Raw genomic sequence first — 12,742 nt, forward strand, 5'->3', positions numbered from 1 at the left:
TGTGACTCTGGCTTTTTTTTTTTTTCTCCCATGATACTCAGCACCTGGCTCGGAACATTGTAGGTGCTAGTGAATACTATTTGAATGAATTGGATCTACCTTTTATTTTTTATTTTTTTTGTAGAGACAGGGTCTTACTTTGTTGCCCAGACTGGTCTCGAACTCTTGGCCTCAAGCAATTGTCCCGCCTCTGCCTCCCAAAGTGCTGAGATTAGGCGTGACCCACTGTGCCCAGCCAGGATGTCTCTTTAATAGGTACGTCTGGGCCGGGCGCAGTGGCTCACCCCTGTAATCCCAGCACTTTGGGAGGCCGAGGCGGGCGGATCACGGGGTCAGGAGATGGAGACCATCCTGGCTAACACGGTGAAACCCCGTCTCTACTAAAAATACAAAAAATTAGCCAGGCGTGGTGGCGGGTGCCTGTAGTCCCAGCTACTGGGAAGCTGAGGCAGAATGGCGTGAACCCGGGAGGTGGAGCTTGGAGTGAGCGGAGATCGTGCCACTGCACTCCAGCCTGGGCGACAGAGCGAGACTCCGTCTCAGGGAGGCGGGGGGGGGGGGGAAATAGGTACGTTTGGTCGGGCACGATGGCTCACGCCTGTAATCCCAGCATTTTGGGAGGCTGAGGCGGGCGCCTCACCTGAGCTCGGGAGTTCGAAACCAGCCTGAGCACCATGGAGAAACCCTGTCTCTACTAAAAATACAAAATTAGCCGGGCGTGGTGGCGCATGCCTGTAATCCCAGCTATTCGAGAGGCTGAGGCAGGAGAATCGCTTGAATCCGAGAGGGGGTGGTTGCGGTGAGCCGAGTTTGTGCTATTGCGCTCCAGCCTGGGCAACAAGAGCAAAACTCCGTCTCAAAAATTATAATAATAATCACAGTTCTATACAAAGTGCAGAATAAGAAAATAGCATCAACTATTTTAATGCTATTAAATGGGGAGCATTTCAGTTGCTTCTCCAAGCAGACAACACCCACATCCAGAATTTGTTTGGCTTTCCAGTACAATCAAAAACACACTCATTAAGTTATCTCCCTATTAAACTGTCTCCCTTAGTTTAAAGAACTTCACTTTAAAGTTTCCCAGCCTGTACCTTCCCAGCTGTACCTTCCCAGCCTGTCCTTCAACGGGGCTAGACTGCGAGGTGTCTCTAAATGCAGTCTCCTAATGTCAGACCTCTATCTCCTTTTCTTCTCACCTCAAGGATCTCCTATCCCCACTAGGAGGTCTAGGTCAAAAGCTACCTCTGTGAAGTTTCCTCTGATCACCTAGCAGAAAAGATCTCGGTTCCTTTTCCTTGAGGCAGTAGACTTTTCTCCCAAGAACAGCAGGAGAAGCCTTGCCAGAGCACATAGCGTTTGAGTTAATTGAGAAAAGAAAAGAGTTCTCTAGACAGAGAAGGAGGGACGAACATTATAGACAGAACAGCAGAGTGAAGCCTGGAAGTTCAAGATCGTGTGCCCAAAATGTGAGGATTTGAGGCAGAATATATCAGATGAGAATGGTAAAGGAAGTGACCATCCTGATATATTCTGTAATGGCTGAATCGGAGTGACTACTTAGAAGGGAATTACAGGGCTAGGCATGGTGGCTCACACCTGTAATCTCAGCACTTTGGGAGGCTGAGGAGAGAGGATACTTTGCGGCCAAGAGTTTGAGACAAGTCTAGGCAACATGGCAAAACCCCGTCTCTGCTAAAAATACAAAAATCAGCCGGGCGTGGTGGCGCATACCTGTAATCCCAGCTACTTGGGAGGCTGAGGCAGGAGAATTGCTTGAACCCGGGAGGCAGAGGTTGCAGTGAGCTGAGATGGTGCCCAGTCTGGGCGATAAAGCGAAATTCCATCTCAAAAAAAAAAAAAAAAAAGCAAAAGAAAACAATTTGATATTTCAGAACAGCATCTCACTTTGCACATGTGAACTGGGCACCATAATCATTTCAGCGCTTGGGTCCGCTGTGGGCTAGAATCCATTGCTGGGATTGGTGAAGATGGGATCTGAGATGGGAAAATCGGTAATGGGCTTGGTTTCAGCCATGTGAACTCCAGGTACCCTGAAGAGCCATCCAGAACACAGCCGGAAATTCTGAGGGAGGAAGTGGGAGCTGGAGGTGGGGCTTGGTGGTCACAGTACAGAAACTTGAGCTTCAGGAACCATATAGAGCTTATGAAGAGACCCCAAATAAAGAACAGTGCTCATCTCGGGGAAATGGATTTATGGTTTTTGCGTTTTGTCTCATTTTGAGACAAGATCTTGCACTGTCGCCCAGGCTGGAGTGAGTGCAGTGGGGGATCACAGCTCACTGCAACCTCGACCTCCTGGACTCAAGATCCTCAGCCTCCAGAGTAGCTGGGACTACAGGCACACACCACCATGTCCTGCTAAGTATTTTCTTTTTTGTAGAGACGGTGACGGGGATGGGGTCTCACTGTGTTGCCCAGGCTGGCCTCAAGCCCCTGGCCTCAAGGTTTCCTCCCTCCTCAGCCTGTCAAAGTGCTGGGATTACAGGCATAAGCCACCGCACCAGGCCTGGAATTACAATTTTTTTTCTTTTCTTTTTTTTCACCCCTCCTTTTTCACTGGAATTACAATTGATGTGATTTTCTTCTTTATATTTTTCTATATTTTATGATTATGTTTTTATAATGACTACATTATTAGTTTGTTTTTGAGATAGGGTCTCACTCTGTTGCCCAGGCTGGAGTGCAGTTGCACAATCTCAACTCACTGCAACGTCCACCTCCCAGGCTCAAGTGATCCTCCCACCTCAGCCTCCCAAATAGCTGGGACCACAGGCACACAACACCATGCCCAGCTCTTTTTTTGTGTTTTTGGCAGAGACAGGGTCTCACCATGTTGCCCAGGATGGTCTCAAATTCCTGAGCTCAAATGATCCACCCACCTAAGCCTCCCAAACTGCCAGGATTACAAGCGTGAGCCACCACTCCTGGCTCTTTTTCTTTCTTTCTTTTTTAAAATACATTTTAAAAACTATTTTAGGCCGGGCAGGGGTGGATCATGCCTGTAATCCCAGCACTTTGGGAGGCCGAGGCGGGCAAATCACGAGGTCAGGAGTTGGAGACCAGCCCGGCCAATATGGTGAAACCCTGTCTGGCTCTACTAAAAATATAAAAATTTAGCTGGGTGTGGTGGTGTGTGCCTGTAGTCCCAGCTACTCGGGAGACTGAGGCAGGAGAATCGCTTGAACCCAGAAGGCGGAGGTTGCAATGAGCCGAGATCGCGCCACTGCACTCCTGCCTGGGTGACAGAATGAGACTCCATCTAAAAAAAAAAAAATATATATATATATATATATATATATTTTAATAAAGACACGTCTCACTATATATTGCCTGGGCTATTCTCAAACTCCTGCCTCCTGGGCTCAAATGATCCTCTCACTCTGGCCTCCCAAAGTGCTGTAATTACAGTCATGAGCCACCGCACCTGGCCCTGGTTTTATTTCTCTTAATGGCTTCGCCTTCCTGTTTAGCCCACAGGCTCAGCCTCTGACCTCTCTCTTGAGCTCCACAGCCTCAGGGGCAACTAGATAACATCCATTCTAGCAGCCTAAAATCTTGAACTGTTTCCCCTTCCTGTCTTTCCACAGCACCTGCTTCAGGCCTTTATTATTTCTGCCCAAAATTGCTATGATACTGACTTGTTGCTTAAAAAAATGTTTTCAGTTGCATTCAAATTATGTATTATCATGGTAAAATGAAAACAGTTCCAAAAAGAAACATATATCAGTGTGCAGATGGATGGATTTTTAAAAAACATAAAAACATAGTTCCAAAGAAAATCAAATACTCCTACAAAAAGCAGCCCAGCCACACTCCTCTAACCACTTCCTGCTCCCCTTGGGCATCCATTTCCAACTCCTTAAACGTTTCCTCTAGTCTTTAGCTCTATATTTTTAATAATTCATATACTGCTATTTTCAGTTTCAGTTTTTTTTTCCTTTTTTTTTTTTTTTTTTTTTTGAGACAGGGTCTCACTGTGTCACCCAGGCTGGAGTGCAGTGGTGTGATCAAAGCTCACTGCAGCCTCGAAGTCCCTTTCTCAAGCAGTCCTCCCACCTCAGCCTCTAGAGTAGCTGGGACCACAGGCATGTGCCACCCAGTTGATTTTTGTATCTTTTTTTTTTTTTTTTTTTTGAGACCAAGTCTCGCTCTGTTGCCCAGACTGGAGTGCAGTGGTGCAATCTTGGCTCACTGCAACCTCCACCTCCCGGGCTCAAGCGATTCTCCTGCCTCAGCATCCCAAGTAGCTGGGATTACAGGCTCCTGCCGCCACCCCTGGCTAATTTTTGTATTTTTAGTAGAGACAGTATTGCACCATGTTGGCCAGGCTGGTCTCGAACTCTTGACCTCAAGTGATCCACCTGCCTCGGCCTCCCAAAGTGCTGGGATTACAGGCATGAGCCACCGCACCCAGCCTAATTTTTGTATCTTTTGTAGAGACAGGGTCTTGCTCGCTGTGTTGCCCAGGCTGGTCCTGAACTCCTGAGCTCAAACAATCCACCCACCTCGGCCTTCCAAAGTGCTGGGATTACAGGCGTGAGCCACCGCGCCTGGCCTAGTTTTTCAGTTATAAATATTAGCTATTGACTTTCTTCAGTGGAAGATGAGAACTTAGCCCCACAAACACCACGCACATATGCAAACATATTCCCAAAAGAATTATATTGCAATTGGCTAAATCAGCATGCAGCGTATAACTTATGATTATGCATTATTCAGATGATTCATGTGGTAAACTCATTACATTTCCTTTCTTTTGTTGTCTCTGGATGACTTCAGTCTGTTTTTACTTCGTTTTCTCTGGACCTATCTCTGCTCTGTCCCCAGACTGACAGAACTGTAACTCTTCTCTCAATATATGCAAACACATCCGGCAGGCACTGTCCTTCCCATCTGTCTCCCTGCCTCCCCTCTCTTTCCTCTCCATGGTATCCAGCACACCGTGGCACTCTAATGTTTACAGCTTCCAATGGATGGCTCCTTAAAGCAAACAGAATTAAACCAAACTGTGGCCTAACCTTCAAGGCCCTCCACAATCCATCCACCATCTTGGTACTTCTGCCCTCAAACTCCTTATGCTATCAAAACCTAGGTTTATCTAGGTTTTTTTTTTTTTTTTTTTTTTTTTTTTGCGACGGAGTCTCACTGTATTACCCAGGCTGGAGTGCGGTGGCGCAATATTGCCTCACTGCAACCTTGCAACCTCTGCCGCCCAGGTTCAACCGATTCTCCTGCCTCAGCCTCCCAAGTAGCTGGGATTACAGGTGCCTGCCACCACACCAAGCTACTTTTGTTTTTTAGTAGAGACGGGGTTTCACCATCTTGGCCAGGCTGGTCTTGAACTCCTGACCTCGTGATCCACCCACCTCAGCCTCCCAAAGTGCTGGGATTACAGGTGTGAGCCACTGCACCCAGCTGGTTTTTTTCTTTCTTTTTTTTGAGATGGAGTTTCGCTCTTGTTGCCCAGGCTGGAGTGCCATGGCGCGACCTCTGCTCACCACGACCTCCGCCTCCTGGGTTCAAGCAATTCTCCTGCCTCAGCCTCCAGAGTAGCTGGGATTACAGGCATGTGCCACTATGCTCAGCTAATTTTGTATTTTTAGTAGACATGGGGTTCCTCCATGTTGGTTAGGCTGGTCTCGAACTCCCAACCTCAGGTGATCCGCCTGCCTCGGCCTCCCAAAATGCTGGGATTACAGGCGTGAGCCACCATGCCCGGCCAGTTTTTTTGTTTTGTTTTGTTTTTTGTTTTTCTTTTTTTTTGAGATGGAGTTTCCATATTGTTGCCGAGGCTGGAGCGCAATGGCCCAATCTCAGCTCACCGCAACCTCCGCCTCCCAGGTTCAAGCAATTCTCCTGCCTCAGCCTCCCAAGTAGCTGGGATTAATGGTGCCTGCCACCATGTCTGGCTAATTTTTTGTATTTTTTTTTTAGTAGAGACAGGGTTTCACGATGTTGGCCAGGATGGTCTCCAACTCCTGACCTCAGGCAGTATGCCCGCCTTGGCCTCCCAAAGTGCTGGGATTACAGTTGTGAGCCACTGCACTGGCCTATCTAGGTTTTAAAATACTACGCCAGCCAGGTATGGTGGCTGTTGCATGTAATCCCAGCACCTTGGGAGGCTGAAGCAGGAGGATTGCATGAGCCCAGAAGTTTGATACCAGCCTGGGCAATATAGTAACATCCTGTCTCTACAAATAATTTTTAAAATTTACCCAGGCATGGTGCCATGTACCTGTAGCCCCAGCTACTCAGGAGGCTGAGGTGGGAAGATCACTTGAGCCTGGGAGGTCAAGGCTGCAGTGAGCTGTGATTGCCCCCCTGCCCTCTAGCCTGGATGACAGAGTGGGACCCTGTCTCAAAATATAAAAAAATTAAAAAGATTCCCCCCTAAAAAGATCCAGGGCTCCTTGAAAAAGGGCTGGGGCTGGACAAGTTCGGGGCCGGGCACAGTGGCTCACGCGTGTAATCCCAGCACTTTGGGAGGCCAAGGTGGGTGGATCACCTGAGGTCAGGAGTTCAAGACCAGCCTGGTCAACATGGTGAAAACCCGTCTCTACTAAAAATACAAAAATTAGCTGGGTGTGGTGGTGCATGCCTGTAATCCCAGCTACTTGGGAGGCTGAGGTGGGAGAATTGCTTGAAGCCGGTAGGTGGAGGTTGAAGTGAGCCGAGCCTGGGTGGCAAAGTGAGACTCCGTCTCAAAAAAAAAAAAAAGTGAGTCTGGAACATTTCGTACCTGACAGTAAGGCACTGCTGAAATCATGATGCAGAAATGTCAAAGGGCACAGGCGCTAACTGGCCCAATCTGGAACAATTTGGACATTTATTTTATTTTATTTTATTTTATTTATCTATTTAGAGACAGAGTCTCACCGTGTCACCAAGGCTGGAGTGCAGTGGCATGATCTCGGTTCACTGCAACCTCCACCTCCTGGGTTCAAGCTATTCTCTTGCCTCAGCCTCCCAAGTAGCTGGGATTACGGGCATGTGCCACCACGCCCGACTAATTTTTGTATTTTTTGTAGAGATGGGGTTTTGCCATGTTGTCTAGGCTGGTCTCGAACTCCTGAGCTCAAGCAGTCCACCCACCTCGGTCTCCTAAAGTGTTGGGATTACAGGCATGAGACACTGTGCATGGCCGTTAAATTTCTTGGGTGTGATTTGGTAGTCTAGTTGTGTTAGGGAACGTCTTTGTTCTTGGGAGATAGAAGCTCAAGTATTTAGGGGTAAAATGTCTTAGTCCATTTGTGCAGCTCTACCTAAATCCCTGAGTCTGGGTAATGTACAAGGAACACAAATTTATGTGGCCACAGTTCTGGAAACTGGGTAGTCCAAGATCAAGGTGCTGGTTTCATTATCTGGTGAGGGCTGCTCTCTGCTTCCAACATGGTGCCTTGATGTTGCAATCTCCTTGTGGGGAGGAACCTGTATCTTCACATGGCAGAAGGCAGAAGGGCTAGAGAGCCAAACACTGCTGAAACCTTTTATAAGGGCCTTACTCCCATTCATGATGGAGAAGCCCCATGGCCTAATCACCTCTTAAAAGCCCCACCTTTTGGCCGGGCGCAGTGGCTCACGCCTGTAATCTCAGCACTTTGGGAGGCTGAGGCAGGCGGATCACGAGGTCAGGAGATCAGGACCATCCTGGCTAACATGGTGAAACCTTGTCCCTACTAAAAATATGAAAAATTAGCCAGGCATGGTGGCGGGCGCCTGTAGTCCCAGCTACTCCAGAGGCTGAGGCAAGAGAATGGCGTGAACCTGGGAGGCGGAGCTTGCAGTGAGCCAAGATCGTGCCACTGCACTCCAGCCTGGGCGACAGAACGAGACCCGTCTCAAAAAAAAAAAAAAAAAAAAGCCCCACCTCTTAATACGATCACAGTGGCAACACCTGAATTTTGGGGAGGACACATTCAAACCATAGCAGAGTCATAATGTTGCAACCTATTTTCAAGTAATTCAGCCAAAAAGCTGGGGGGGGGGGGGAATATCTGTAGGCCGAGCACAATGGCTCATGCCTGTAATCCCAGCACTTTGGGAGGCAGAGGTGGGAGGATTGCTTGAACCCAGGAGTTTGAGACCAGCTTGGGCAAAATAGTGAGATCTCATCTCTACAAAGAAAAATTTTTTTGGCCTGACGTGGTGGCGTACGCCTGTAATCCCAGCACTTTGGGAAGCCGAGGCAGGTGAATCACCTAAGGTCAGGAGTTCGAGACCAGGCTGAACAACATGGCAAATCCCCATCTTCACTAAAAATACCAAATTAGCTAGGCATGGTGGCGCATGCCTGTAATCCCAGCTACGGGAGGCTGAGGCAGGAGAATCACTTGAACCCGGGAGTTGGAGGTTGCAGTGAGCCAAGATTTCACCATCATACTCCAGCCTGGACAAGAGCGAAACTCCATCTCAAAGGAAAAAAGAAAAAAAAGATCTCATATCCAAATTTCTCAAGGCCCAACTCAAACACCACCTATTTTATAAACTTTTTTTTTTAAGATGTCTCACTCTGTCGTCCAGGCTGGAGTGCAGTGGCATGATCTCAGCTCACTGCAACCTCCACATCTCAGGTTCAAGTGATTCTCCTGCCTCAGCCTCTGGAGTAGCTGGGACTACAGGTGCCCACCATGCCCGGCTAATTTTTGTGTTTCTAGTAGAGATGGGGTTTCGCCATGTTTGCCAGGCTGGTCTCAAATTCCTCACCTCAGGTGATCTGCCTGCCTTGACCTCCCAAAGTGTTGGGATTACAGGCGTGAGCCACCACGCCCAGCTCTATAAACTTTCTATGATCTCAAAGCCTCCAAGATTCTTCTCCAGACCCTAATGGTATTCCACCTTCACGACCCCTCATGGCTCCTACTTCTCCACCTTCTCTGCTGCATCAGACCATAAGCTCCTTAAAGGCAGTGACCATGTGTTTACCAGTTATACTTTACAAAGAACCTACCAAGATTATGTTTGCAACAAATACAGTTGTCCCTCAGTATCCACAAATTCAACTGGTAGTGGATCAAAAATACCGGATTCAAGAGATGCAGAACATGGCCTACTGTGGGACTTGAGCATCTGCAGGTTTTGGTATCCACCAGGGTCCTGGAACCAACCCCTCCAGATACCAAGGGACAACTGTATTTGTAAAATATTTTTATTTATTTATTTTTTTGAGACATAGTGTTGCTCTGTCGCCCAGGCCAGGCTGGAGTGCAGTGGCAAGATCTCGGCTCACTGCAACCTCCACCTCCAGGGCTCAAGCTGGGATTACAGGTGTGTGCCACCACACCCAGCTGATTTTTGTATTTTTAGTAGATGGGGTTTCACCATGTTGGCCAGGCTGGTCTCGAACTCCAGGCCTCAAGTGATCCATCTGCTTCAGTCTCCCAAAGTGCTGGGATTACAGACATGAGCCACCACGCCTGGCCAATATTTTTATTTTTTAATAAGACAAGGTCTCTTTCTGTTGCCCAGGCCGGAGCGCAGTGGTGCAATCATGGCTCACTGCAGCCTTGACCTCCAGGGCTCAGGCAATCCTCCTGCTTCAGCCTCCAGAGTACATGGGTCCAGAGGTGTGCACCACCACACTCAGCTAACTAAAAAAAAAAAAAAATTATTTGTAGAGATGGAGTCTCCCTTTGTTGCTGAGGCTGGTCTTAAACTCCTGGACTCAAGCAGTCCTCCTCCTCAGCCTCCCAAAGTGTTGGGATTACAGGCATGAGCTACTGCACCCAGCCCATTATACTTTCCTTTGTTTAAACACATTAAAACAGTTATGTTGGCCAGGCATGATGGCTCACGGCTGTAATCCCAGCACTTTGGGAAATGGAAACCGAGGTGGGTCCAGCCTGGGCAACATAGTGAGACCTTGTCTTTACAAAAAAAAAAAGGGTCAAGCGCAGTGGCTCACGACTGTAATCCCAGCACTTTGGGAGGCTGAGGTGGGTGGATAACGAGATTGGGAGTTCGAGAACAGCCTGGCTAAGGTGGTGAAACGTCGTCTGTACTAAAAATACAAAAATTAGCCAGGCACAGTGGCAGGCACCTGTTATCCCGGCTACTCAGGAGGCCGAGGCAGGAGAATTGCTTGAACCTGGGAGGCGGAGGTTGCAGTGAGCCAAGATCACGCCACTGCACTCTAGCCTGGGTGACAGAGAACACTCTGTCTCAGAAAAAAAATACGTATTTTGTGTACCACATACAATCACATTATCTGTAAAATTCATTTGACAATTTGATTTTATATGTCTCTTTTTTTGAGACTCCCTCTGTCGCCCAGGCTAGAGTGCAGTGTCATGATCACGGCTCACGACAGCCTTGACCTCCTGGGCTCAAGAGATCCGCCCACCTCAGCCGTCGAGCAGGGGATGCTACAGGCATGCACCAACATGCCCAGCTAATTTTTGTTTTTGTTTTAGAGATGAGGTTTCACCATGTTGCCCAGGCTGGTCTCGAACTTCTGGGCTCAAGCGATCTTCCCAAAGTGCTGGGATTACAGGCATGAGCCACTGTACCTGGCTGTTACATTTTTAAAAGATTATTACTTATTTTTTTAGAGACAGAGTTTCACCCTGTCGCCCGGGCTGGAGTGTAATGGCGCAATCGGGCTCCCTGCAACCTCCGCCTCCCAGGTTCAAGAGATTCTTGTACCTCAGCCTCCCAAGTAGCTGGGATTACAGACATGTGCCAGAACGCCCGGCTAATTTTTTGTATCTTTGGTAGAGATGGGGGTTTCACCACGCTGGTCAGGCTGATCTCGAACTCATGACCTCGTGATCCGCCCGCCTCAGCCTCCCAAAGTGCTGGGATTACAGGTGTGAGCCACCACGCCCGGCCTACATTTTTGTATTTGTTAATGAGACAGGGTCTTGCCATGTTGCCCAGGCTCGTCTTAACTCCCAGGCTCAGGCAATCTTCCTGCCTTAGCCTTCCAAAGTGCTGGGATTACAGGCCACTGTGCCCAGCCCTATATATATAAAAATATTTATATATATATATATATTTTGAGATGGAGTCTTGCTCTGTCGCCCAGGCTGGAGTGCAGTGGCGTGATCTCAGCTCACCGCAAGCTCCGCCTCCTGGGTTCACACCATTCTCTTGCCTCAGCCTCCCGAGTAGCTGGGATTACAGGCGTGAGCCACCGTGCCCAGCCCCAGCCCTATTTATATTTTGTAAGAAAAGATAAAACAGGGGCCGGGTGCGGTGGCTCATGCCTGTAATCACAGCACTTTGGGAGGCCGAGGCGGGCAGATCATGAGGTCAGGAGATCGAGACCATCCTGGCTAACACAGTGAAACCCCGTCTCTACTAAAAATACAAAAAATTAGCTGGGCGTGGTGGCAGGCGCCTGTAGTCCCAGCTACTCGGGAGGCTGAGGCAGGAGAATGGTGTGAACCCGGGTGGCGGAGCTTGCGGTGAGCCGAGATCCCGCCACTGCCAGCCTGGGTGACAGAGCGAGACTCCGTCTCAAAAAAAACAAAAACAAAACATAGAACAGTAGAACTTGTATTATAGTCTCATCCATGACACCTGGAGCCCCTGTGAGAAATGAGGGGAATCACTCCGGGAAATAAACAGATCTGTGGCTGCCAGGGCCCGAGGGGAGGGGAAGAAATGGTGAATGATGCTAACTGGACATGAGGTTTCCATTTGGGATAATAAAAAAGTTCGGAGCTGGACTGTGAGGACTGCCCAGCACTGTGAATGTACTCAGTACTCAGTACCACTGAAATGCACACTTCACAATGGTGACAAAAGTAACTCTTGGCCAGGTGCAGTGGCTCACACATGTAATCCCAGCACTTTGGGAGCCTAAGGGGTTCGAAACCAGCCTGGCCAACATGGTGAAACCCCACCTCTACTAAAATTACAAAAATTAGTCAGACGTGGTGGTGCACGTCTGTAATCCCAGCTACTTGGGAGGCAGAGGTTGCAGTGAGTTGAGAACACACCACTGTACTCCAGCCTGCTGGGTGACAGAGTGAGACTCTGTCTCAAAAAACAAACAAACAAAAACCTTTTATGTTACGTGTATTTTACCACAAGGGGGGAAAAAAAGAACTCATGAATCCCTCCGAACTACATGGACCTGTGGAAAACACATCCATGGGCTGCATTTGGTGTACACAGGGATGGAATTTGGTTTTGTTTTTTGAGATGGAGTCTCGCTCCGTCACCCAGGCTGGAGCGCAGTGGCGCAGTCTTGGCTCACTGCAACCTCCACCTCCCAGGTTCGAGCAATGCTCGTCTCAGCCTCCCAAGTAGCTGGGACTAAAGGCGCCTGCCACCATGCCTGGCTAATTTTTGTATTTTTAGTAGAGATGGGGTCTCATTTTGCTGGTCAGGCTGGTCTTGAACTCCTGAGCTCAGATGATCCACCCACCTCAGCCTCCCAAAGTGCTAAGATTACAGGCGGGAGCCACTGCGCCTGGCCTGGTTTTTATGTTTTAATTTAAAAATATTGTTTAGATAGAGATAGGGTCTTGCTGTGTTGCCCAGGCTGGTCTCAAACTCCTAGCCTCAAGTGATCCTCCTGCCTCGGCCTCCCAAAGTGCTGGGATAAGAAGTATGAGCCACCACGCCCAGCGAGAAGCATAATTTGAACTACGTGACAGCTTCAAAGGGAGGCTAGAAATCACTGTCATGAAGTCCACACTGTGGGAGTGAAAGGATGGGCAGGCCCAGCCCACAGTGACCCCACAAGCACTCAGCCACCACCCCCACCCCG

General features: G+C 48.7%; 1 annotated feature.

Moving 5' to 3' along the window:
* Positions 2,149-2,218: an enhancer, noted in NCBI's record as "active region_26124". NCBI's record gives its function as "activates an Ori minimal core promoter by ATAC-STARR-seq in GM12878 lymphoblastoid cells {active_cell/tissue: GM12878}" and the evidence as "EXISTENCE:reporter gene assay evidence [ECO:0000049][PMID:35858748]".

This window comes from Homo sapiens, chromosome 7 (assembly GCF_000001405.40).
Source record: "Homo sapiens chromosome 7, GRCh38.p14 Primary Assembly".
NCBI lineage: Eukaryota > Metazoa > Chordata > Mammalia > Primates > Hominidae > Homo > Homo sapiens.